At 38.8% G+C, this 27,672-nt stretch overlaps 1 long non-coding RNA gene across 1 annotated transcript, besides 5 other annotated features; it reads right to left on the bottom strand.

The window, feature by feature from the left end:
• Positions 1-11,626: 11,626 nt before the first annotated feature.
• On the bottom strand, positions 11,627-26,431 carry LNCPRESS2 (lncRNA p53 regulated and ESC associated 2). The gene is made up of 3 exons (NR_125920.1): positions 26,179-26,431; positions 18,372-18,485; positions 11,627-12,484 (listed from the first exon to the last, which is right to left on the bottom strand). It is a non-coding gene; the product is annotated as a lncRNA p53 regulated and ESC associated 2 (long non-coding RNA).
• Positions 20,065-20,972: an enhancer, noted in NCBI's record as "OCT4-NANOG-H3K27ac hESC enhancer chr4:93192087-93192994 (GRCh37/hg19 assembly coordinates)". NCBI's record gives its function as "activates a minimal SCP1, AML or CMV promoter by ChIP-STARR-seq in naive and primed H9 embryonic stem cells {active_cell/tissue: H9 hESC(naive and primed)}" and the evidence as "EXISTENCE:reporter gene assay evidence [ECO:0000049][PMID:30033119]".
• Positions 21,881-22,788: an enhancer, noted in NCBI's record as "H3K27ac hESC enhancer chr4:93193903-93194810 (GRCh37/hg19 assembly coordinates)". NCBI's record gives its function as "activates a minimal SCP1, AML or CMV promoter by ChIP-STARR-seq in primed H9 embryonic stem cells {active_cell/tissue: H9 hESC(primed)}" and the evidence as "EXISTENCE:reporter gene assay evidence [ECO:0000049][PMID:30033119]".
• Positions 22,789-23,694: an enhancer, noted in NCBI's record as "NANOG-H3K27ac hESC enhancer chr4:93194811-93195716 (GRCh37/hg19 assembly coordinates)". NCBI's record gives its function as "activates a minimal SCP1, AML or CMV promoter by ChIP-STARR-seq in primed H9 embryonic stem cells {active_cell/tissue: H9 hESC(primed)}" and the evidence as "EXISTENCE:reporter gene assay evidence [ECO:0000049][PMID:30033119]".
• Positions 25,511-26,418: an enhancer, noted in NCBI's record as "OCT4-NANOG-H3K27ac-H3K4me1 hESC enhancer chr4:93197533-93198440 (GRCh37/hg19 assembly coordinates)". NCBI's record gives its function as "activates a minimal SCP1, AML or CMV promoter by ChIP-STARR-seq in primed H9 embryonic stem cells {active_cell/tissue: H9 hESC(primed)}" and the evidence as "EXISTENCE:reporter gene assay evidence [ECO:0000049][PMID:30033119]".
• Positions 26,419-27,324: an enhancer, noted in NCBI's record as "OCT4-NANOG-H3K27ac hESC enhancer chr4:93198441-93199346 (GRCh37/hg19 assembly coordinates)". NCBI's record gives its function as "activates a minimal SCP1, AML or CMV promoter by ChIP-STARR-seq in naive and primed H9 embryonic stem cells {active_cell/tissue: H9 hESC(naive and primed)}" and the evidence as "EXISTENCE:reporter gene assay evidence [ECO:0000049][PMID:30033119]".

The raw sequence follows: 27,672 nt of genomic DNA on the forward strand, positions 1-27,672 counted from the left end.
ACTTTTTTATGGGTTTTCTTTTCTTATAAATTTGTTTAAGTTCCTTGTAGATTCTGGATATTAGACCTTTGTCGAATGGAAAGATTGCAAAAATTTTCTCCCATTCTGTAAGTTGTCTGTTCACTCTGATGATAGTTTCTTCTGCTGTGCAGAAGCTCTTTAGTGTAACTAGGTGCCATTTGTTAATTTTAGCTTTTGGTGCCATTGCTTTTGAGGCTTTTGTCATGAAATCTTTGCCTGTGACTATGTCCTCAATGGTATTGCTTAGATTTTCTTCTATGGTTTTTATAGTTTGGGTTTTACATTTAAGCCTTTAATCCATCTTGAGTTAATATTTGTATAAAGTGTAAGGAAGGGATCCAATTTCAATTTTCTGCATGTGTCTAGCCATTTTTACCAGAAATATTTATTAAATAGGGAATCCTTTCCTCACTGCTTGTTTTTGTCAGGTTTCTCAAAAATCAGATGGTTGCAGATGTTTGAGCTTACTTCTGAGATCTTTATTCTGTTCCATTGGTCTATGTGTCTGGTTTTGTACCAGTACCATGCTGTTTTGGTTACTGTAGCCTTACAGTATAGTTTGAAGTCAGATAGCATGATGCCTCCAGCTTTGTTCTTTTTGCATAGGATTGTTTTGGCTGTATGGGCTCTTTTATGGTTCCATATGAATTTTAAAGTAGTTTTTTTTTTCCAATACTGTGAACAATGTCAATGGTAGTTTAGTGGGAATAGCATTGAATCTATAAATTACTTTGGGCAGTATGGCCATTTTTCACAATATTTGTTCTTCCTATCCACGAGCGTGGAATGTTTTTCCATTTGTGTCCTCTCTTATGTCCTTAAGAAGTTGTTTGTAGTTCTCCTTGAAGAGGTCCGTCACATCCCTTGTTAGCTGTATTACTAGATATTTTATTCTCTTTGTAGCATTTGTGAATGGGAGTTCATTCATGATTTGGTTATCTGCTTGTCTATTGTTGATGTATAGGAATGCTTGTGGTTTTTGCATGTTGATTTTGTATCCTGAGACACTGCTGAAGTTGCTTATAGCTTAAGGAGCTTTTGGACTTAGACAATGGGTTTTCTAGATATAGAATTGTGTTGTCTGCAAAGAGAGACAGTTTCATTTCCTCTCTTCTTATTTGAATATCCTTTATTTCTTTATCTTGCCCTGGCCTAAACTTCTAATACTATTTTGAATTACAGTGGTGACAGAGGGCATCCTTATCTTGTGCTGGTTTTCAAGGGGAATGCTTCCAGCTGTTGCCCATTCAGTATGATGTTGGCTGTGTGTTTGTCATAACTGGCTGTTATATTTTGAGATATGTTCCATCAACACCTAGTTCATTGAGAGTTTTTAACATGAAGGGATGTTGAATTTTATCAAAGCTTTTTCTGTTTTTATTGAGATAATCATGTGGTTTTTGTCTTTAGTTCTGTTTATGTGATAAATTATATTTATTGATTTGTGTATTTTCAGCCAGCCTTGTATCCCAGGGATGAAGCCTACTTGTTCATGGTGAATAAGCTTTCTGATGTGCTGCTGAATTTGGTTTGTCAGTATTTCATTGAGGATTTTTGCATTTATGTTCATCATCAGGAAGCCTGGCCTGAGGATTTCTTTTTTTGCTGAATCTCCACCAAGTTTTGGTATCAGGATGATGCTGGCCTCATAAAATGAGTAAGGAAGAAGTCCCTCCTTTCCAATTGTTTGGAATAGTTTCAAAAGGAATGGTACCAGTTCCTCTTTGTACCTCTGGTAGAATTCAGCTGTAAATCTCTCTGGTCCTGGGCTTTTTTTTATTGGTAGGCTATTTATTACTGCCTCAATTTGAGAACTTGTTATTGGTCTATTCAAAAATTTGACTTTTTTGTGGTTTAGTCTTGAAAGGATGTATGTGTACAGGAATTTATCCATTTCTTCTAAATTTTCTAGTTTATTTGCATAGAGGTGATTTGTATTAGTCTGTTTTCACACTGCTAATAAAGATATACATGAGACTGGGCAACTTACAAAAGAAAGAAGTTTATTGGACTTACAGTTCTACATGGCTGAGGAGGTCCCACAATCATGGCAGAAGGCAAGGAGGGGCAAGTCATATCTTATGTAGATGACAGCAAGTGATGAGAGAGTTGTGCAGGGAGACTCCCATTTTTAAAGCCATCAGATCACGAGACTTATTCACTATCGTGAGTATAGCATGGGAAAGACTTGTCCCCATGATTCAATTACCTCCCACCCGGTCCTCCCACAACATGTGGGAATTCAAGATGAGATCTGGGTGGGGACACAGCCAAACCATATCATTCCTCCCCTGTCCCCTTCCAAATCTCATGTACTCACATTTCAAAACCAATCATGTCTTCCCAACAGTCCCCCAAAGTTTTAACTCATTTCAGCATTAACTCAAAAGTCCACAGTCCAAAGTCTCATCCTAGATAAGGCAAGTCCCTTCCATCTATGAGCCTGTAAAATCACAGGCAGGTTAGTTACTTCCTAGATACAATAGGGGTACAGGCATTGGGTAAATACAGCCATTCCAAATGGGAGAAGTTGGCCAGAACTAAAGAGTTACAGCCCCATGCAAGTAAAAAATCCAGCAGGGCACTCAAATCTTAAAGTTCCAAAGTGATCTACTTGATTCCATGTCTCAAATCCAGATGATGCCGATGCAAGAGGTGGATTCCCATGGTCTGGGATAGCTCTGTCCCTGTGGCTTTGCAGGGTACAGCCTCCCTTCTGGCTGCTTTCACAGACTGGCATTGAGTGTCCACATCTTTTCCAGATGCACAGTGCAAGCTGTCAGTGGCTCTACCATTCTCGGGTCTGGAGGATGGTGGCCCTCTTCTCACAGCTCCACCAGGAGGTGCCCCAGTATGGACTCTGTGTAGGGGCTCTGACCCCACATTTCCCTTCTGCACTGCAATAGCAGTAGTTCTCCACCAGAGCCCCACCCCTCCAGCAAATTCTGCCTGGACATCCAGGCATTTCCATACATCTTCTGAAATATAGAAGGAGGTTCCCAAACCCCAATTCTTGACTTCTGTTTACTGGCAAGCTCAATATCAAGTGGACACTGCCAAGGCTTGAGGCTTGCACTCTCTGAAGCCACAGCCTGAGCTCTAGATTGGCCCCTTTCAGCCATGACTGGAGTGGCTGGGACACAGGGCACCAAGTCCCTAGGCTGCACATAGCATGGGGACCCTGGGCCCAACCCACAAAACCACTTTTTCCTCCTAGTCTTCCAGGCCTGTGACGAGAGTGGCTGCCATGAAGAACTTTGATATGTGCTGGAGACATTTTCCCCATTGTCTTGGTCTTTGAGGCTGCTGATCTTCGGATGGGGTTTTTGTGGGGACATTTTTGTTAATGCTGTTGTTGTAGCTTTCTGTGTGTTTGTTTTCCTTTTAACAGTCAGGCTACTCTTTTGTAGGGCTGCTGTGATTTGCTGATGGTTCACTTCAGGCCCTATTCACCTGGGTCCCTCCCGCACCTGTAGATGTCACTTGAAGAGGCTGAAGAACAGCAAAGGTGGTGGCTGCTTCTTCCTCTGAGGTCTTTGAGGAGCACCAACCTGATGTCAGCAGGAATGCTCCTGTATAAAGTGTCTGGTGACTCCTGTTGGGGTATCTCACCCGTCAGGGGCACAGGATCTGGGACCCACTTAACAAAGCACTCTGGCTGTCCCTTTGTGGAGGGGGTGTTCTGCACTTGGGGGAAACCCACTGGTCTGGGCTGCCTGGATTCCTCAGAACTAGCAGGGGGAAAGACTAAGTCTGTTGGTCCTCAGAGACCACATCCACCCCACTCCCTAGGGCTCAGGTCCATAGAGATCAGAGTTCTGTCCCTAAGCCTCTGGCTGGAGTTGCTGAAGTTCCTGGAGGGATGGCCTGCCCAGGAGGCACGGGGCAGAGTTTGGCCTAAAGACGCAGTATGTCTACAATCTGCCACAGCCAGTGTGCTATCCTGTGGGGAATACCTCTTAAGTCCAAACCATTCAGTCTCCCTGGCATTGCAGGGGAAAAACAGCGGACTGAAGCTGCAGGGGTGGCTGCTGCCCTACCCCCACCGCCAGCAGTTCAGTCATCTTAGGCAGCAGGCAGCTGCAGTGATGGCTGCCGTCCCTTGCCTGGGGTGCTCAGTTTTCTAAGGCAGCAGGCAGCAGCAGTGATGATGGCCTCCCCTTCCCCTGGGAGCTCAGTAGTCTTAGGCAGTCTCCAGCCAAGTGGCTATTGAGAATCTGTGTGACTCTGTGGTTGGGACAGAATCCCTGGTGGGATGGGTTCATGAGTATGATCTCCCTATCCACGGGTTGCACAGATCCATTGAAAAAGCATGGTTTACCAAGCTGGGTAGCACAATCACTCACTGCCTCCCTTGGCTGGGGGTTGCGGCTCCCCTTGCCAGGTGTGGCTCTCAGGTGAGCCATCGCATCACCCCTCTTTTCTTTGCTCTCCATGGGTCATGTCAACCTACTAGTCAGTCCTGATGATAGAACATGGATACCTCAGTTGCCAGTGCAGGATTCACATGCTATTTTGGTTCTTCTTGGTGGGAACCTGTAATGGCAGCTGTTTATAGTAAGCCATTTGGCCCCCTATTTATATTTTTAAAATTATTTTTTTTGATTGTTGTCTGACTTATACTTTTTATACTTTTAAAATTCTTTTTCTCTTTATTGTTTTCAGACTGGGTTATTTCAAGAGACATGTCTTTAAGTTCTGATATTCTTCTGCTTCATCTAGCCTGTCTTTGAAGCTTTCAAATATATTTTGTATTTCATTCACGGAGTTCTTTATTCTAGAATTTCTGCTTGGTTCTTTGTTATGATATCTATCTCTTTGGTAAATTTATCATTCATATCTTGGATTCTTTTTCTGATTTCCTCATATTGTTTTTCAGAATTCTTTTTTATTTCACTGAGCTTTTGTATCATAATTTTGAATTCTTTTTTTGGAATTTCATGAATTTCTTTTATATTGTGATCTGTTGCTGGAATTATTATGTCCTTTTGTAGGTGTCACATTTTCTTGCTTTTTAATTTTTTTTTCAAATTTTCTTTTGTAGGTGGGTACTTTTTCCTGAAAATATATTAATAGTGTTGGTTGGGTAAGACCTTTTAGCTTTTATTCTGGGTGCATGAGACAGTGTAATCCCTGAATGATTTTTCAGCTGTGACAGCCTGAGTGGTATCTGTTATTTCCTCAGGTTGTTCAGGGTGCAGTTATTAGTGGAGGCTATGGTAAAATTTTGCGGCAAACAAGGATGCCAGGTAGGCCAGTTTTCAGACCCCCATGGTGGCAGCAGTGGGTAAACATGCCTGTTTTTGTGCTCCAGGGTAGAATACACTGTCATCAATGTTAATGGAATCAGATGGACTGATTCTTGAGCCTCCAGATAGCTTGCTCAGATGGCCTGAGTGGCAACATTCATCTAGGTAGGTGAGCAGATTCTTGGGTCCTGAGCAGTTTGCATGGTATATGGGTGATAGAAGCATGGTATATAGGTGATAGATAGCAGCAGCAGGATGATTCTCTTGGTCCTGAGTGGTGTACACTGGTGTTGGTGGTGACGTGGTAAGGGGTTGACACCCAGTCTCAGACATGCAGCTCCCAGGCTTGCCACTCTCAGTAGCAGCAGCACTGCACAGGGTGAGGACACCCATCTTTCATGGGACAGTCCATGCATGGAGGCCATACCACATGTGGGGGTACACTCACAACTAACAGCCCCAGAAAGGCAGCCATTCAGCTCTACTGCCCCAGCCTCCTGAGGTAGCAACAGCAGCTGTGCCTACAGAAGTGCAAGGAGCAGGAGAAGGGATTCCATTTTCCATGTGTCGGTCCAAGCGTAGAAGCCACTCTGCCAGTGGGAAGGGATATCACTCTGTTTGCAAGGCTGAGCACAGTTTGTGCCACTGCTTGGAGCAGGGTCACTTCTCACATCCCCAAACAGAAAGCTCTCAGCCCAGAAAGCACGTGCTTTTGTTTCCTTTGTCCTAAGTGGTGCTCCCTTTTTGGTGATCTGAACTATCCTTTTTTTCTGGAGAGTAGTACTCCCTGTGGGCTAGAATACTGGGGATTCCACAACACCTTTCGGTCCAGACAGCACGATGACACTGTAGCTCTTTGGGTAGGCACTAGGGGATGTCAGTGCGGGCTCCCAAGTTGTGGAGATATGGGAACTATGGTTCCCAGGGCAGGAAGCAGTCTTGTCATGGCTGTGTTCTCACATTGGTACCTTGCTGTAGCCACTTAGGTCTCAATGGGGTGAGTGACCCAGTGTGAGTTCCCTGTCTGGTTCAGTGCCCTCATGGGTTCTCCAAATCATTGCCTACACTAGTGTTTATGTGAGTACAGGACTTCTCCCATGGTTAGGATTGCAGCAGTCCATGCTGGAGATGTGGACTGCTGAAGTTCTCTCCCTTACCTTTTCCTTACAACACTGAGCACCCCTGGGCTCCCAGTTGATCCCGATCTCGACTGAGCTGACCACTCACTTTCTTCTTCTATGCCCCAGGTATTTCTTGTGGCTTTTCTGTTGGACTCTAGTGTTCGCTCCTAGATGTTCTGTTCCAGGTACAATTATCTATTCATAATTTTGATTCTTCCTTTTGGACAGGGTGGGTATTCAATGTCCCTAGTCACTCATCTTTAATATTTATTATATACAATATTATATAAAAATATAATATTTTTATGCACTTAAATTATCTGATGAAATTTTAATGCTATTCACTGCTAGTGGCCATACTTCTGCTTTTTCCAGTCTACCTTCAAATAATATTACTCTGCTTCATGTATCATCAAAGGACCTTGCAACATTTAATTTTATTTCCTCCGAACTGATTTTTGTGCTTTGTTGTTATACATTTTACTTACATCAGGGTTATAGACCTCAAAATAATTCATTTTACTTAATTATATTTCAAAGGTACTAAAAATTAAAATTTCAAAGTGTTTTATATTCATGCACATATTTACCATTCTAGACACTGTCATTCCTTGTGTAAATTCAATTTTCCATCTGGCTTCATTTTTCTTCATCTTCAGGGAGGAACTTCTTTTAACATTTCCTGTTATGTTCATCTGCTGACAACAAATTCTATCAGATTTTGTCAGATTTTGTCTGGAGAAAAGGTTTCAGTAAACCTGGATATAGAATTATAAGTGAACAAGTTTTTTGTGTTTTTTTCCCTTTCATCTTAGTTTAAGTGACTTTCCATTGTATCCTTCACATGCACATTGTTTTTTTTCTGATGAGTAGTCTGTGATAATTCACATTTTTTTAATTCTGTACACATAAATTTATTTTTCTTCTCTAAGGCATATACATCCTGTTGGATCAAAATCCATGTCTTTGTCCAATCTCTGAAAACAGCTCTGCCATATATTTAATCCTGTTTTCTAATTGTTTATCAGTGGAAGGGTATGTTAGGCTGTTCCTGTATTGCTATCAAAAATATATAGACTGGGTAATTTACAAAGAAAATACGTTTAATTGGCTCACAGTTCTGTAAGCTATACAGGAAGTGTGGTGGTGGCATTTGCTCAGCTTCTGGGGAGGCCTCAGGGAACTTCTACACATGGGAAAAGGTGAAGTGGGAGCAGGTACTTCACATGGTGAAAACAGGAACAAGAGAGGGAGTAGGGGGAAAGTGTCACACACTTTTAAATGACCAGATTTTCCAAGAACTGTCTATCACAAAGACTGTGCTAATCCATGAGAGACCCACCCTCATGATCCAAACACCTCCCACCAGGATACACTTCCAGTATTGGGGATTACAATTCAACATGAGATTTGGGCAGGGACAACTATCCAAAGTACATCAAAAGCTGAACTTAGGCCCAGTATATGGCATCATGGTATAAAATGAAAGTTTTTTTGCCTTATTACTTTTAATTGGATGACAGAAACTGCATGAGGAAAGGTATGGAATCTTTTGATGTGATCTTCCTCAAGAAACAATTGTTTTGCTGGTCTTGGTAGTCACTGAGAGTAGGAGAAAATAACCTTAATCTTGTCAGGAACTAAAGTAATTTGCAGATCAGCTTTAGATTTTTGGGAGACCATCTAATTTCTGATTATCTGGTACTTTTAGAATTTGGAATTTTAGAAGTTTAGAATAAATTTATGGGCTGTTTAATAAGACCATTCACTATCAGGCTCTAAATGCCAATTTTTCCTTCCCAGAACTATAGCATCACCAATAATTTTTGTTAGATATTTAGAATTTTATCAACAGCTTTCTGTTTGCCTTCTCTACCTCCCAGCCTGATCTGCCTATAAAAGGAAAAAAGTCTTTTTTTTAAATATACTTTAAGTTCTAAGGTACATGTGCACAACGTGCACGTTTGTTACATATGTATACATGTGCCATGTTTGTGTGCTGCACCCGTTAACTCGTCATTCACATTAGATATATCTCCTAATGCTATCCCTCCCCCAGCTCCCCACCCAATGACAGGCCCCAGTGTGTGATGTTCCCCACCCTGTGTCCAAGTGTTCTCATTGTTCAATTCCCACCTATGCATGAGAACATGCGGTGTTTGGTTTTCTGTCCTTGTGATAGTTTGCTCAGAATGATGGTTTCCAGCTTCATCCATGTCCCTACAAAGGACATGAACTCATCCTGTTTTATGGCTGCGTAGTATTCCATGGTGTATATGTGCCACATTTTCTTAATCCAGTCTATCATTGTTGGACATTTGGGTTGGTTCCAAGTCTTTGCTATTGTGAATAGTGCCGCAATAAACATACATGTGCATGTGTCTTTACAGCAGCATGATTTATAATCCTTTGGATATATACCCAGTAATGGGATTGCTGGGTCAAATGGCATTTCTAGTTCTAGATCCTTGAGGAATCACCACACTGTCTTGCACAATGGTTGAACTAGTTTACAGTCCCACCAACAGTGTAAAAGTGTTCCTATTTCTCCACATCCTCTCCAACACCTGTTGTTTCCTGACTTTTTAATGATCGCCATTAAAGAAACAATAAATTCTGTATCCTGGGCTTCATTATTCTACTCTCATCTCCAAACTATAGTCCTGCAAGTCTGCTTACAGTGGTAGATAACTTTTCAAGTTTGTCCCCCCAGTCCAGTGTGACTTTGAAAAGCTTCTCTGCCTCTTAGCAGCTACTGTCTCTTTGACTTCTTACCTCTCTGCACATATTACTTTTGAATTGAAAATTTTGCTGGAAGAAAATCAGTGTAAAGTGATAGAATCACCAGAACACTGCAAGATGTTCAAACACTTTGGGTGGAAGGGTATATTTTAGCCCTCTTTGTTCTTATTCTCAGCAGAAAGTCCCAGAATTTCATTCATTTTAAATGTTCAAATTTAAAAGGTAAGTGGAATGCTATGGCAAACCACCATTGGCCTAAATTAAGGAATGTTACAAGATATAGCCATATTAAATTGACACTATATCTGTTGTAGGGACTCTCATAAAGATAGGAGATTATATTAACTATAATAAGAATTTGCTTTCCAATAGGAGAGAGCGTTATGCATGAGTACACTGTTGAATTTAAGAATAACCATCCAATATATTAATGATTGAGATATAAAAATTAAAGCCTTCTCATTAGTTAATCTAACTCAATGCAGTTATCTCAAATATTTTTTAAAATAAAATAAGTAGTTAGAAGTAAAGGAGGGAGGAAAGAAAGTCAGGGTAGTACAAAGTGAAAAAAAGGAGGGAAGTTAGAATTCGTATGTGTGCATTTTTCTTCTGTTACATTTTTCTAAATTGCATTATTTTATTGTTTCATTCTGTTTTTGCTTACGACATATATAGACACTTCTCTGGAATATATATATATCAGTTAAACTCTGTTTCTCTCATTAATCAGGAGACCCTTTGGTCTGAAATTGTATACATATTTGTTTTAAAATATGTATAAAGCAATATGTAATATATCTATGCTTTAAAATATTTTATATATGTGCTATATATTGTTTTTGCTTTAAAATATCTTAAAAATAATAATAATTTACTAGTTAATTTTGATTCTATTTAATTTTCATTTTGTGTTTTCATCAACAAAATTCTTCCTTGGATTCAGTCTCACCCTTTAGAATGTTAATCCTGCTGAGAAAAGAGATGCCTTCTTTCTTTTTCCTTTGTATTTCTAGCACCTATACAGTGCTTGGCACATAGCAAAAACTGAAAAAATATCTATTAAGGAAAAAAATGGAATAACACTGAGTTCCACAATTTTATGAAATGCCTGAATTATAGGACAGAAAAACATATACCTCAGGCTGATATTGCCAGAATGAATCAGTGAAGGACCGAGAGAAAGAGAAAAAGGCAAACAAAACTTTCTCAAAATTAGGCAAAAGTATCAAGCTCTACACCAGAGAATAACGTTAATTATCCAGAATTGTCTTTTTAAGTTCTACTTTGTTTTAAGTTGGAAACAGAGAAACTGATAAGCATTACATTGTAAACTAATCTTAGTTTCTGAGAATAGAGTCTTAAGAGAGCAGTTACACACACTGTGGCTTTTCTTCACTTGTGCTGGTGATGGCAAGAGAAAAAGCTACCATACTACCACTCAAGCACCTCTCTTCACTTTTTTCCCCAGAGGATGGGTGAAAGATATCACTCTTATACATTTTTTAAAAAAATGGTGTCCATCCTTCATTCACTCATGCATTTTGTACTTACTTCACTCCATCTCTGTATTCTTTATTCTAGAAAAGAAATTCTATTTACTTCTGATATTTCTTTACGATAAATATTCTAAATTTAAGGGAGGCTACGCTTATGTGAAAGGATATATATTTTACTTGGCTGAGTTTACATTTACAGAGATTAAGCCAAAATATACAATCATCTTTAGGTTATCAAAATTCTGAATGAGAAAGAATTCACATGAAATAAAAGAACTATTGTAAAATTTTTATCATCCTTCCTCAAAAATACTATTTCGTAACTTTTATAAATGCTTCCGTGCTTTTCCCTTATAACATTATTTTATATTGCATGAAATCCCAGGAGTACTTGGTGAGGATGTAAGGTCTGTTATTTTTTGTTCTTTTTACCCCTTTTTCACTTCTCATAAACTTCTGAAAAATTCTCCTGTATTACTAGTCACAGCCCAAAGGCAAACTTTAAGATTTTTTTCTAAATTGGTTTATAGTTCAGAAAGAAATTTTGAGGAAACATGATATTAAAAAGAAGAAAAAGAAAGCAGAGGAAAAAGGAAAAACTGAAAATATCAGAAATATATTTAGTAATTAACAATAATTTATGAGCTAAGTATTTGCTTTAAAATATCTTGTGAAATGACAAAAACATATACCCAGTAAGTAACCAAGTTTTACAGTTTTTGTTTCCATGTGTTTTTTTGCTGTTGTTTGCTTGCTATAACAAAAGTATTTGCTTTTCATTTTTATCTCCCATTGTCTTTGGATTGTCACTACTCAAATTCAAGTCCATATTATGGAGGAGTCATATTTAGAAGTCATACCAAATTATAGAATTCATCTAATGTAAATGCTTTTACTTAATAGTCGAAGAAACTAAAGTCTTGAGAGACCAATCATTGTCAAAAATACACTAAGAGCTAACACTTGCAATCCAGTGCTGCATTTACCACAATAATAGCTTCCTAATTGAACTGCTACCTCCGTTAGAAGTTTTTTCTCCCTTCTAACATGCATATTGCTTCCAGTTAAATCAATCATTTTATGTCTCAAGAAGTCTAGTAGCCAGTTAGACTCCTATAGATCCCAATCTGTATGAAGCACTCCACAATCTGCCCCAAAGCTCACTTTTAACACTTATTTTCCTTTTATAAGCCCTCTACTTCAATCAAACTTGTATTTTCTCTTTCTGTGCCTTTATATAACATCATTTTTTCATCTCAAATATCTTCTTATGTTTGTCAAACATTACATGTGACTCAACTGGCAAAACAAATCCTTCCACCACAGAAACTATTTATATCTAAAAACTCTATCAAGAGCACTGTGTAGAGGGTAGTTTTACTACCATACCATAAATAAGTTAATTGAAACTCAGATTACATTATCTGTCTAACACAAAGCTACTAAAGTTTAAAAAAAATCAGTTCAAAATTAGGTGAATTTTTTTTCTGACTACCCCAGTATCATTGCTGAGGTAATTTAAGTTACAATAAAATATTTTGAAGCTTATTAATACAAGACTCTCTTACCTGTGTCAGTCCTAAAGTATGGTTCAAATTCCATCATTGTCTTAAAGGTTACACATACTAGAACACATATATGCTCATGAACGCATAACAGGAGATGTCTGCAATGGAGCACAGTTTCTTACATTTTAATCAGTGACTGGGCAGCTTCTTCCATTATAACATTCCTCTCCAAGTGTGCTGCTGGCATAGTGAGGAGGTAAAAAGTAGATTACATGAATTGTCCTGTGCCTTTTCTCTCAGACATTGACGACACTCTTGCTGTAATCTTGATGCCATTAAATCCTACTCTGGATAAAGAGGAAAAATAGAAATTTCATATTCAAAATAATATACAGGAATTAAAGAAAAAAATTTCATGAGACCGTGAGACATTAAGGATTTGTCCAATGGCTTCTCTTTTACTTGTATTTTAATTTGGTAATAATGATTTTACAAATGTTTCTTGAACTCATCAAGTTGAATGATGGCATAAGCCCCATCAGATACAGTGGAATGTTTTCTGTAGATAAGTATCTCATGATCAATTTTTAAACAATAAAGGCATTAATTTTCCCAAATGTAAATCACCCATAAGGAACAATATTTCTTTGGCCTACCATTTTGGCATACAGTACAACTCTAGCAACAGGAAAATACTCTGATGTTGAAGGAAGTAAGAAGCCTTCTTTCTAGGACCTCACACTTCCTGGTAGGATCATGTTGTAAATCTATCTGGTGGAGTAGAAATTTTCAGAGTTGATGGTCTAGTCCCATTATTCTATACCTCAGCCTCTTTTTGTAAAAAATACCTCTCAACCTGATACGTATAAAGAGGTACAGATGTTAGTGCCTGTCCTTATTTAGAAACTTTGCTTCTATTCATTCACTGAGTTTTCTGTATTCTTTTCAAACTTCTCTACCACAATATTAAAAAAAATATAGTCCAGCCCTGCAATTTGTGGGCTAATGACAGTGTATGCTTAAAGAATTATTGAGTGAAGGGTGACATATTTTTATAAACAAAAATGTTATTTTTGCATAATTGTATTATTCATGCAAACTCTTTATCAATTAGGACAATTGAAATTGTTAGGAATATCTATAAGCTCAGTTTTACTGTGGAGATCTAAAAGGGACACAAATGATTTAATTATTGGATGTCAAACTGGCAAAAAAAAAAAGTCTACGGTCATGAAATACGTTTATGTTGCCCTCATGAAATTTTTATGATAGACCAGTATTTCTGCAGGCTTCCTCCTAAGAGAATACTGGACCCTTCTATAAGTAAGCAAGTTAATCCCACTTCTCACTGGAATAGCTACCAGTTTACCTTCTTGTTAAAATGAATCACTAGCAAATACGAATAATCCCTCACTTGATGTTTAGCCTGCTGGATGCTGCTCTGTTATGAGTGATTTATGATCATACCTTTAAATAATTATATTGGTCCTGTTGTAATATTTCATCACAGCTAACAAGAAGATACATGCAGATAAATGTATTACAACTCCCCTCTCTTCAAGTATTTTCCTCTATTAGAAATTAAATACCTCTAAAATATTAAACCAAAAATCTCTCCCCAGTGGAACTTAAAGAATAAGCCTACGTTATTATACTTTTATTTTATAATTTACAAGAATCAAAACATTCATAGCTAATGTTTCCACAGCTACCTTCTACTAAATATAGATTGGAGTGTATTTCACATGAGAGAAAAAATTAAACTTTGCCTCTTTGTAGAAGAAAATATAACTAAAAGGTCAGGAGAAATTGCTTTAGAAATCAAAATCATAAAATGGGTACTTAAAGAGGAAATTATATATTCAGCACTTCATATAAATTTTAGTAAAGTAGAAAATATTTTAAATAATTGAGATGGTAATGGTGATGATGATGATGATGACAATAATAAACCATTCTGTGGGGAGAGAAGACTATCCTTGCTTTAGAACAAAGTGCTGGAGTGCTGTCACATTTCAGAAACTACACATGAGAGAATTATTCTTTTGATAAGAAAACATTAAATAAGCATCCAGAAACCACAACAACTGTACTGATTATAAGCCATCCCTGGCACTTAGAATCAATGCTCTACAGCTTGCTCAGTCTCGATTTTGTCCTTCCCTTTTTTCCTAGGGTTCTATTTTTTCCAGTAAATAAAATCATGGCCAGTAGCCATGGAAAGAAAAAACAATGCTGTATTTAGAAACAGAGGTTAAGGTCAAGTCTCCACTTAACAAAGAGAAATAAAGAATTAAGCTCAGGCCAAGGTCTCAAGTTTCTCAACTGCTTACATGGAAAAAAATGCAACAAAAGTAAGTAAAACATTGAACAATGATCTGGTTCATGCAAAAAGAATAATGTGCCAACATTTCATTAAATAATAAATGAGATTTATTGATAAGATTTATCCAGATTACATGATGATAACTCCAAATAGTAACTTCCATCTGCATTACATTTATTCAGCAGATGTGGCCAAGTAACTGCATTTATTTTGGGGAAAATAATTAAGTGGAGTTAAGAATTGTATGCTACAATTATTTTTCTAAATATTTGTTTTATTAAATACCAATATCTCATGTTATTATTTATACTCATATACTGTTTAAAAATATTAACATCAATTTGAATACTAATATTTGCAAATAACAGAACACTAAATTGACGTAAACAAGAAATATTATTTTCATAAAACAAAGTTGGAAGGTTAGCACAATTATTTCATGAAAACTCAGATTCTTACAACTTTCTGTTCTGCCATCCTGAGCATGCTGGTTTTTATCCTGATGCTCTTCTGCCTTATGGCCAAAGGATTGCTATTCAAGTATCACAGATCACAAAGTAATGTGGAAGACAAAAATGTTATTTTTGCTTTAGCATTTCTTTCATTTGGGGGAGGAACTTTTCAAACAATTCATTTCACACATCTTCCTGGCCACTCCTACAGCAATCATTAGCAAAAAGAAATGGGAATACCATTTAAGATTCTGACCAATTCTTCATTATTTTCCTGGGCCTGAGAAGAAACTGAAATGCCCTGACCACAGTATCTTTGAATTCTTCAACCAAATTACAGACTTGACAGGGAAAAAGAGGGAGTGGCTGATGGGAAAGAATATTAGGGTCTGCCCCATTCACATGATTTAAGTCCAATGATATTTAAATAAATATCTCAATCAACTTTTATATTTTTGCTTTTAAATTTTTAGTTTATGTTGGAATGTTTTTTTCCACAGGATGTGTAATCATGTCATTTTCTTTCAAGCAAGGCTCTAATTTTCTATGATTAATTTATCCACAAACACTGTTACTCTCAAATTCAAATATCAAAAATCAGGTATTTTTTATACTCCCACATAAATAAATACACACACAAATCTATACACATAAGATTTTTAATTTAATCACATTTTAAAGTTTGGTTTAGAAATTAGTATTAAGAAATTATCTAAAACTTAGAAATGTTATTATAAGATATTTCAGCATTTCATTTCAGTATCATACTGAAAAGCTGTTTAACAGGATCACCCAAAGAATACTTAATTTTCCAAAGGAATGTACTTTCATGTGACTTTGAAATTTACTAAAAAGTTAAGACCTCGGACACTTCAAAGTTACATACTAATTTGCAGAACTTGTCTGAATTTTTTCTCCTGCTAAATACCATCACAAAAGTTATGGTTTTATTGCCCTGTAGGACACTAACTATCTTGTTGAACTTATGTAAAGTCTGTACTATATAATCTTTGTTTTTCTAATTCTCGTTTGGATCAGATTTTTCATCTCACTGGTTTCCTCCTTTATGTGTTGAACAAAATCTTTGAAATGTGATCACTGTATATTTGTATGACAGTCATGCTTTACGTTTTTGATAATTATACTTTGACATTAAAGAGTAAACCAATGATACTCACTGATAATGACTTTTATCTTTGTCATATGCTTCAAATATTTAGAATCACTAAACTTAGAGATGTACTAACATATTCAGGCAATCAGGTGTGACCCAGGAAGCCACTTAATTCAATCAGGAAGTTTTTTTACTGTGCTAAGATATAAAACAAATATTTCTAATTCTTTTGTGCAAGAGTTGAATCTTATTTAGGATCTTATCAAAATTTCAAATAATACCTCAGAATTTTTTAAATTCAGAGATGAAGAAATAATATAAATAACCATTTTTAACTATAAATTAATTTTTAAGATGTTAACCTGCTCCACTGAAATGTAGAGTAGAAAAATTAAAATTACCAAAGGGCAGAGAGGGAGGGGAGCAAACTACTTGTCATTCTTCTGTCCCTGTCAAAGGATTTTGCTGGGCAAAATAATTTAAGGATATTTTCACTGAAAGGTGGTAAGATAATTTCATTACACATTTCCATTAAGTTTCTTAAACAGAAATTTTCTCCCAGTACAGAGCTGTGCATTAAAGAAGTAACTCACTTCTCAATTTCTATTTTTTTAAATAAATGTAAAAACAATTTGGCTCATTTTTTACTTATTTATGCCCTTAATTTCAAGCATTATTTGTGAGAAAATGAATTGGAAATATAAAATTGGTTCAGCTGTTTCATCAAGTGGTGCTCAATTTTCTAATTTCTCTATCACAGACAATCAAAGCTTTGAAGCAACCTGTTATCTCTTTCAGAGGTGACAAATTGTCTGTGAAAAACTTCAGGATCTTTAACCACCAGAATCTGCATTGCCAACCTAAAAAATGCAATCTCATAATCATGTTATTTGTATATGTTTGCTTTAAGACTTTCAAAGTTCGATTCTTATTTGACATCACTCTCCTAAAGGCAATCAGGCCGAATAAGTAAAGAAAATGACATCAAAAATGTTCTTGGGAGTGCTTATTTATTCTGTGTTTTAATCAGGATTATAAAATAAGAAAAACAAATTCAAATTTTGATGAGATTTCAAAATTCATAGTCATAGAGCAAAAGTAGCAAGACATCTGCATTGTAATGCAGAAAATATTTGTATTTTGCTTTCTCATTAACATATAAAATATAACTAAAAAGTTAAGGAAGAGTAGTAAGGAATAATTTGCAGATAAGAAATAGTGACCATGAATAAATTAAAATATTTATTTTGTCTTATAGGCTATACTTCTGGGTGTAAAATCATTGAAACAAGTCAAAATTCTAATAAATTGGGAAGGTGGAAAATTGGAAAAATGCCCTTTGATAATTACTAACAAGTATTAAGAAGAAACTATTAAGAATATCTTCTAAAAATAGTAATTTACATACACAGTAACATATGTTTCTTTTTACTTAGTTTGTTAAGCGCCCTCAATCTTTACCTACAAACCCTTGCGTACATAGGAGGGAATGCCAGAGTAGACTCTGATGGAATTCAAAAGAGAAAATTTATGCTTCTAGTCTTAAATCAATTATGACCATGTAATCTGCTTCAGATTAGAATAGTTACATATTCAGATAAAAAGAGAAAAAAGACAGTATATTTTTTCTAACTTTGTGTCTTATACTTAATATATATCCTTGTCTCACCTAATTTTTCTTCATTTAACTGGTTGTACCAACAACCTCAACTACAAGGTTGTTAATCTGAATACTGTCAAGGATTGTTGTTTGTTATGCTTTCCTTCTCACAGTATAATCCAGATTGTCTCCTTACATCAGCAATAGATATAAGAGCTCTACTTTGCAGCAGTGAATTAAAATTTGATGCCTCTTTTTTTACTTTGCCGTAAACACTCCCTTCGTTTTATTCATCTTGATTTTCATAGCGATCCCCTTCTAATTTCTTTATCGTGCCTCACCTTGTTTGGTCCTCAATCCCAAATAATTATAAATTTCCAAGCTAGTTGTTTAACCAAAAATTAACCCTGAAATTAGTTTCCACCTATACAGGACATTGAACAGAAATAAACTACACTGTTTTAACTTCTTTTTCTAACTTGGCACCTGGATCAAAAGTCTGAGATCATTGTTTTCATTTGTGTCTTTAGCTGTGGCATACTATTGAATATATTGTTGATTATATTTGCCTGGCAAAGTTGAAACCCATAATTTAAATTGAAAGTATGATATTTAAATGGATATATTTCATGCACAATAATCCACAAAATATTAAGCTAGTTAGTGTCATAATATCACAGACCCAGGCTTCTGATTCAAACTGAGAGTTGTTTTCAATATGCTACACTATCTGCTTACATACCCCATCTGTTGAATTTTTAGCATCTGGCAACTCAAAGTATGGCCTCCAACTAGCAGCACCTTCATCACCTTGGAGCTTTTTAGAAGTGCTGAATCTCAGGTACCACTTGAAAAACTGGAATAGAATACACATTTTAGCAAGATTGCCTTGTAAGTGCAATGAAGTTTTAAAAGCACTGTCTTAGTATATTTCACATATAAGCAAGAGTAAAACTCATCTTTCTTACTTAAATTCCAGATCAGGGTACAGTAATCCTTTTTCTTAGAAAAATAAATTTCATTTTACTTCAGTAAAAAGGCTGGCTTCTGTTATATAACTCTCTTATCTAAACTCTTTTGAAATTTGTTTATTCATTCATATTCATTTATTCTCATGAAATTATTAAGAACCGAATATGAGCCAGATATTATTCCAGGTTCTGGGAATTTCATAGTGATATAAAGAGAAAACCTTGCCCTTTTTGAAACTACATTATAGATGAGGTAGACAAACAATATACAAGATTAATAACTAAAATATACAATAGGTTACATGGTAAAAAGTACAAAATATGATAACAAAGCAGTAAGGAAAAGTGAAGAATGTCAGAGCAAGTTTAGCGTTGCAAATGTAGAGAAGGTTGTCAGAAATTTAGAACTAAGTATTTTCTTTCAAAGCATATTTTCCTTTTTATGGCCTCAACTCCAATCTCCAAGTAGAAAATATCCAAGCCTAAACTTTAGCCTTAATTTCCCAGTGGTGTTCTGGCTCCAAACACATAACAATATTTTGATAGATCCCCTAACAATTTAACATAATAGATTTATTATCATAAAATTATTATAGTCTGATGTCTTTTGAGGACTTCTTTGACCATAATATTCTTTCCTCAACCCCTTCCAAAGCCTATGACTGGGGAAACCCTAAGCTTCATCAATTTGTGCAAATTCACAAACACTCATTCTCGAAGGATCTCTTTCTCTTCAGGGCTCCTTCAGGGCTTTGTCTGTGTGGCCTAAACACAAATATGAAGTTCAACGCTTTTTCAAATTTTGAAAAAAAAAAATCATCTTAAAAGCATTCATGAGCAATGTCAATTTAATAAAAGATTCTATAACAAAGGTAGAAAAGAATGTTTGCATTGCAGTCATAGGTTGGGTTTCCCAAAATGAGATTGCCTTACAGGGGGTTGATTGGAGAGTGCTGTCAGGAACTACACCAGAAAGGCCATGACAGTGCAGAACTGAAAAAAGGAAGAAGTTGAATTGTGATGATTAGGTTGCAAAAACGACCTCAAAAAACTGGAGCAGCGGGAGTTCTGAAGTTCAGATGGCCTTCTGGAGATGCTCATAAGTGCAGCAAGTGTTCAATACTGCTGCTTTAAACAGTCACCCTCCTCTATCTTTGCTATGGAATCTTCTATAAAGTTTGCTGTCATAGTATCACTTATGTTGTGTCAGGTCCTCCAAGAAAAAGACACCAAGAGAGGATTAGCCATTTGCCATATATTTAAAATCGCCATAATTGTGAGGGAAATTGGGAAAGAGTAAGAAGGAAGTTGGCAATGCAATGACACTTTGATGAAGATCTAATCCTAGTTAAAGGAGAGAGAAGATTGGGTAGAAGCATCTCAGATTCAACACAATTATAATAGAGATTGGCAAGGCTGTTAGGGAGTCCTTGAATCAAATTTGCTTGTCAGAGGAGTCCTCTACCTCCTATGACTAGATTTACCTTAGTATTCTTTACTTGGTAAATTATTGGCTGGGAATAGTCCATGGGAAGCATGGACTTAATTTCAGAGCTCAGACAATTAAATGCACCTGCAGAGATCTGCAAGGTGTATTCTTATAACTGCCACAATGAGGTGCTAGAGTTGCTGTTCCTGAATCAGGGCATGGAGGACATGAGTCTGGAATGTGAGAAATTCACTGGGATATCCCCTAGTGCTTCTTTCTCTGTGATGAGAGTAAGTGAGCATTTTTAGCAATCATGGACTGAGAACACCAAAGTATTGAGAGGCGTAGAAACCTCAGGAACAAAGATCTGTGCCCACGAGGAAATGGACCTAGACAGTAACAATCCCACTAAGATGAATGGTCTCCGAAATGGGAAGTAGAGAAAGAAGACATTGAATATAGGTTGAATATAGATTATGGCATCTAATCTGTAGCAGCAGATACATTTCACTAACAATCTTAATTTAAGCTCTTATTTTAGATACTGAGTACAGCCACTATTTTGAAATGCCAGCGACAGAGTGGAATCTTTCATGCACGTCCGTGTGAAGAGACCACCAAACAGGCTTTGTGTGAGCAACATGGCTGTTTATTTCACCTGGGTGCAGGCAGGCTGAGTCCGAAAAGAGAGTCAGCAAAGGGAAATAAGGGTGGGGCCGTTTTACAGGATTTGGGTAGGTAAAGGAAAATTACAGTCAAAGGGGGTTTGTTCTCTGGCGGGCAGGAGTGGGGGTTGCAAGGTGCTCAGTGGGGGTGCTTTTTGAGCCAGGATGAGGCAGGAAGAGGACTTTCACAAGGTAATGTCATCACTTAAGGCAAGGACCGGCCATTTACACTTCTTTTGTGGTGGAATGTCATCAGTTAAGGTGGGGCAGGGCATATTCACTTTTGTGATTCTTCAGTTACTTCAGGCCATCTGGGTGTATACATGCAAGTCACAGGGGATGTGATGGCTTGGCTTGGGCTCAGAGGCCTGACATTCCTGCCTTCTTATATTAATAAGAAAAATAAAACAAAATAGTGTTGAAGTGTTGGGGCGGCGAAAATTTTTGGGGGGTGGTATGGAGACAGAATGGGCGATGTTTCTCAGGGCTGCTTCAAGCGGGATTAGGGGTGGCGTGGGAACCTAGAGTGGGAGAGATTAAGCTGAAGGGAGGCCTTGTGGTAAGGGGTGATATTGTGGGGATGTTAGAAGAAACATTTGTCGTATAGAATGATTGGTGATGGCCTGGATACGGTTTTGTACGAATTGAAAAACTAAATGGAATAACAGAAGGAGAAAAACAGGCATAAAAGGTTTAAGAATTGGGATGACTCAGGATATCTGATTAGAGAGTGCCTAAGGAGATTCAGCATAGTCCTGCCAGCAAAGATTATTTATTTACTTCAAGAGTTAAGAGTGGCAGTTTGGGGATAGCACCAGGAGATATCAGCTGTGATGGCTTGGAAAAACAGTGTAAACCAGCAGTGAAAACAAGAGCAGGGCATGTATGAGTAGTTGAGAATGGTGAATAGGAGTATGACTAGACAAAAGATAGTAGGGATGACAAGTTTTTTTGGGGCACAGTCTAAGTTGGTCTGGTGTCGAATGAGACTGGGGCCTAATAAAAAGGAGCATCTATACAGGAGCTTAAATGGGCTGTACCCTGTAGCATTCTGAGGACAGGCCTGAATTCTGAGAAACGAAAGTGGTAAAAGTATTGTCCAGTCCTTTTTAAGTTGGTGGCTGAGCTTATTGAGGTGTGTCTTTAAAAGATCTTTAGTCCGTTCTACTTTTCTTGAAGATGGAGGACCGTAAGGGATATGAAGGTTTCACTGAACCCTAAGAGCCTGAAAAACTAATTGGCTGATTTGAGTAATAAAGGCTCGTCTGTTATCAGACTGTATAGAGGTGGGAAGGCTAAACTGAGGAATTATGTCTGACAGAAGGGAAGAAATGACTGTGGTGGCCTTCTCAGACCCTGTAGGAAAGGCCTTTACTTATTCAGTGAAAGTGTTTATTTAGACTAAGAGGTATTTTAGTTTCCTGACTTGGGCATGTTGAGTAAAGCTAATTTGCCAGTCCTGGGTGGGGGCAAATCCTCGAGCTTGACGTGTATGGAAGGGAGGGGGTCTGAATAATCCCTGAGGAGTAGAATAGCAGATGGAACACTGAGAAGTTATTTCCTTGAGGGTAGATTTCCACGATGGAAAGGAAATGAGAGGTTCTAAGAGGCAGGCTAGTGGCTTGTACTATAGCATAGCCTGCCTTTGCTGGTATGTGGCGATTAGGCCTGGTGGAACTGCCATCAATAAATCAAGCGTGATCAGGGTGAGGAACAGGAAAAGAAGGAAATATGGGGAAATGGGGTGAATATCAGGTGGATCAGAGAGATACAGTCATGGGGGTCAGGTGTGGTATCAGGAATAATGTGGGAGGCCAGATTGAAGTCCCGGCCAGGAACAATGGTAATTGTGGGACTTAACAAAGAGTGAGTACAGCTGAAGGAGCCGGGAAGCAGAAAGTATATGCGTCAGATATGAGGAAGAAAATATATTTTGGAAGTTATGAGAAATGTAGAGAGTGAGTTGAGCATAGTTTGTGATTTTTAGGGCCTCTAAAAGTATTAAAGCAGCGGCAGCCGCTGCACGCAGACATGAGGGCTAGGCTAAAACAGCAAGGTCAAGTTGTTTGGACAGAAAGGCTACAGGGTGCGGTCCTGGCTCTTCTGTAAGAATTCTGACCACACTAACCATGCCTAGGAAGGAAAGGAGTTGTTGTTTTGTAAGGGATTGAGGTTTGGGAGATTAATCAGACACAATCAGCAGGGAAAGCACGTGTGTTTTTATGAGAATTATGCCGAGATAGGTAACAGATGAGGAAGAAATTTGGGCTTGATTGAAGTAATGGGGGCTGTCTGTGAAGCCTTGTGGCAGTACAGCCCAGGTAATTTGCTGAGCCTAATGGGTGTCAGGGTCAGTATAAGTGAAAGCAAAGAGAGGCTGGGATGAAGGGTGCAAAGGAATAGTAAAGAAAGCATGTTTGAGATATAGAACAGAATAATGGGTAGTAGAGGGAGGTATTGAGGATAGGAGAGTATATGGGTTTGGCACCACGGGGTGGATAGGCAAAACAATTTGGTTGATAAGGCGCAGATTCTGAACTAACTTGTAAACCTTGTCTGGTTTCAGGACACTTAAAATGGGGGAATGGTAAGGAGAGTTTATAGGCTTTAAAAGGCCATGCTGTAGCAGGCGAGTGTTAACAGGCTTTAATCCTTTCAAAGCGTGCTGTGGGATGGGATATTGGCATTGAGTGGGGTAAGGGTGATTAGGCTTTAATGGGATGGTAATGGGCCTGTGATCAGTTGCCAGGGAAGGAGTAGAGATATCCTATACTTGCGGGTTAAGGTGGGGGGATATGAGAGGAAGACTCGAAGGAGGCTTTGGGTTGGGGAGAAGGGCGGCAATGAGATGTGGCTGTAGTCCAGGAATAGTCAGGGAAGCAGATAATTTGGTTAAAATATCTCGGCCTAATAAGGGAACTGGGCAGGTGGAGATAACTAAAAAAGAGTGCATAAAAGGGTGTTGTCTAAGTTGGCACCAGAGTGGGGGAGTTTTAAAAGGTTTAGAAGCCTGGCTGTCAATACCCACAACAGTTATGGGGGCAAGGGAAACAGGCCCTTGAAAAGAAGGTAATGTGGAGTGGGTAGCCTCCGTATTGATTAAGAAGGGGACGGACTTACACTCCACTGTGAGTTACCTAAAGCTCGGCGTCCGTGATGGTCTACGGGGCTTCTGAGGTGATCAGGCAGCGTCGGTCTTCAGCCGGCAAGCCAAGAAGGAGTCAGTCAGAGAGCCTTGGGCCAGAGTTCCAGGGGCTCTGGGAGTGGCTGCCAGGTGAGTTGAACAGTCCAATTTCCAGTGGGGTCCCACACAGATGGGACACGGCTTAGGAGGAATCCTGGGCTGCAGGCATTCCTTGGCCTGGTGATCAGATTTCTGGCACTTGTAGCAAGCTCCTGGGGGAGGAGGTTCTGGAGGAACGCCTGGCTGCTATGGTTCAGGCGTTTGGAAATTCTTGTGTGCTGGAGATGTGTCTGGGCTTTGTCTCACAGTGGAGGCAAGGAATTGCAACTTTTTTTCTGTTATTGCACACCTTGAAGGTGAGGTTAATTAAGTCCTGTTGTGGGGTTTGAGGGCCAAATTCCAGTTTTTGGAGTTTTATTTAATGTTGGGAGCAGATTGGGTAATAAAATGTATATTGAGAATAAGACGGCCTTTTGACCTTTTAGGGTCTAGGGCTGTAAAGCGTCTCAGGGTTGCTGCCAAACGAGCCATGAACTGGGCTGGGTTTTTATATTTGATGAAAAAGAGCCTAAATGCTATCTGATTTGGGATAAAGAAAAAGGAGCATTAACCTTGACTATGCCTTTAGCTCTAGCCACCTTTTTAAGAGTAAATTGCTGGGCAGGAGGGGGAGGGCTAGTCACAGAACGAAACTGTAAGCCAGACCAGGTGTGAGGAGGGGAGGTGATAAAAGGATTATAGGGTGGAGGAGCGGAGGCTGAGGAAGAATTGGGACCTAGCTCGGCCTGGCGAGGAGCAGCCTGGGGAGGAAGGGAGAGGTCAGATGGGTCTGTAGAAAAGGAAGATTAGAAAGACTCAGCGACGCTTGGTGTTGGTACTGGGGGGACAGGCAGGAGGGAAAGAAGGAAGATTTGGGACAAGTTGCACTGGGCACAGAGACTAGGAAGGGACTGATGTGTAAAAGAATGCCTGGACGTCAGGCACCTCAGACCGTTTGCCTATTTTACGACAAGAATTATTTAGATCTTGCAGGATGGAAAAATTCAAAGTGCCATTTTCTGGCTATTTGGAACTACTGTTGAGTTTGTATTGGGGTCAGGCGGCATTGCAGAAGAAAATAAGGCATTTAGGTTTTAGGTCAGGTGTGAGTTGAAGAGGTTTTAAGTTTTTGAGAACACAGGCCAAGGGAGTAGAAGGAGGAATGGAGGGCGGAAGGTTGCCCATAGTGAAGGAAGGAAGCCTAGAGAAAAGAGAGAGTAGAGAAACGGAGGGAAGGGATTTGGGGGTTCTTATCTTCCAGAAAAGTGGGAAAAGTGGTTGGGGTGCAGAAATAAGGGATTGGGGCACAGAGATATAAAAGGTTGGGGCACAGAAATAAGGGGTTGGGGTGCAGAGATATGAGGTTGGGGCTCAGAAATAAGGGATTGGGACACAGAGATAAGAGGTCGGGGTGCAGAAATAAGGGATTAGGGCAGAGAGATAAGAGGTCGGGGTGTGGAAATAAGGGATTGGGGCACAGAGAAAAGAGGTTGGGGTGCAGAAATAAGGGATTGGGGCACAGAGATAAGAGGTTGGGGTGCAGAAATAAGGGATTGGGGCACAGAGAAAAGAGGTTGGGGTGCAGAAATAAGGGATTGGGGCACAGAGATAAGAGGTTGGGGTGCAGAAATAAGGGATTGGGGCACAGAGAAAAGAGGTTGGGGTGCAGAAATAAGGGATTGGGGCACAGAGATAAGAGGTTGGGGTGCAGAAATAAGGGATTGGGGCACAGAGAAAAGAGGTTGGGGTGCAGAAATAAGGGATTGGGGCACAGAGATAAGAGGTTGGGGCGTGGAAATAAGGGATTGGGGGTTCTTGCCCCGTAGAAAAGCGGGACTTGCCGCTAAGGGTGCAGGAGAAGGGGTTGAGGAATAGTTGCCCCTCTCCCAAAAAAGCAGAGAAGGGGTAGAGACAAGGAGAGAAGGGGTTGGGGTACTTGCCCCTTCCCCAGAAAAGTGGGACTTGCCGCTAAGGGTGAAGGACCAAGGCAGGCATTCCTGCGTGGTCTGACACCCTTGAAAGGTGGGTGTATAATCAGAGACGCGTCCCTGCAATGATTAAACACCAAGGGAAGGCTGCCTTCCCAGTCTGTGACCGGCGCTGGAGTTTTGTGTCCACGGATAAAATGTGTCTCCTTTGTCTCTCCCAGAAAATGAAAGGAATTGAAATTAAGAGAAGGGAGGGATTGAAGAGTGAAAGGGAGAAAGTGGTTGAGGGACAGTGAGAGAGGTTGGAGAAGAGAGTAAGAAGAGGCCGCTTACCTGATTTAAAATTGGTGAGATGTTCCTTGGGCTGGTTGGTCTGAGGACCTGAGGTCATAGGTGGATCTTTCTCATGGAGCAAAGAACAGAAGTACAGGGGATTGATCTCCCAAGGGAGGTCCCCCGATCCGAGTCAGGGCACCAAATTTCATGCACGTCTGTTTGAAGAGACCACCAAACAGGCTTTGCGTGAGCAACATGGCTGTTTATTTCACCTGGGTGCAGGCTGGCTGAGTCTGAAAAGAGAGTCAGCAAAGAGAGATAAGGGTGGGGCTGTTTTATAGGATTTGGGTAGGTAAAGGAAAATTACAGTCAAAGGGGGTTTTTTCTCTGGCGGGCAGGAGTGGGGGTTGCAAGGTGCTCAGTGGGGGTGCTTTTTGAGCCAGGATGAGCCAGGAAAAGGACTTTCGCACGGTAATGTCATCACTTAAGGCAAGGATCAGCCATTTACACTTCTTTTGTGGTGGAATGTCATCAGTTAAGGTGGGGCAGGACATATTCACTTCTTTTGTGATTCTTCAGTTACTTCAGGCCATCTGGGTGTATACATGCAAGTCATAGGGGATGTGATGGCTTGGCTTGGGCTCAGAGGCCTGACAGAATCTGTATTGGATGTAAGCATATCTGAGCAGTGCAAGAGGTAGACGGTAGCCAACACAATGGATAAAGCACTCAATATTTCCTTGGCTTGCTTGTGTCTTCACCTGCAATTGTGGAGAAAAAAATGCCCATCTCTCAGTAGTACTATCCAGAAGCATATTCATCACAGTTTGTCAGAGGATACTCAGCAGAAGTGAGTCCCAACAATCCACTCATTAACACATTCTATGCTGGCTTTTTCTTTCTTCCACTCTCACTTTTCCTATTCTCTGGCTTTTTTTTTTTTTTTAATCATCTACTAAATAAAGTACTGGTATCCAAGTTTTTATATCATGGTATTTTGAGGGGACTACAAACTAAGATGATAAGAAAACTAGGCTTTGTTCTTAACTGTCAGGAAGCTTTTTAGATAGCATTTACTATTTTGGTTCCAGTCCTAAAAATTGTTTATAACCTTCCAGCAATATAGCTGGAAAACTGCAATTGTTCATTACTCTGATGGTCTCAGAATGTTAGTAACAAAATCATCTCCTATAGAGAGGAAAGCATTTTAACCTCATGATTTTATTATAATTGGAAACTGATGGCCTATGTTATTTTTCATTCTTAATGTAATAACTATTTTGGTAGTTTTGAAGAAACTTCACTCACACACCACAAATCATTTTAATTTATTCTCTTCTGGTCAAAACAGGTTAAATAGATTCAAAGAGCATGTACATTTTTTTTTTAGTTCAAAAAAGTTTCTGTAATAATTATCTCGAAATATGCTTATGAAACAAGATAGTGATTGCAAAATGCATCATTTAGTGAAATAAATTATTTTTGTAGATTATTCAGTTATTCACATGCTAACTAGAAGGTAGGTGTCACAAATATTTAGGTGAAGAAGAG

The sequence above is a fragment of the Homo sapiens genome, chromosome 4 (assembly GCF_000001405.40).
Source record: "Homo sapiens chromosome 4, GRCh38.p14 Primary Assembly".
Lineage (NCBI taxonomy): Eukaryota > Metazoa > Chordata > Mammalia > Primates > Hominidae > Homo > Homo sapiens.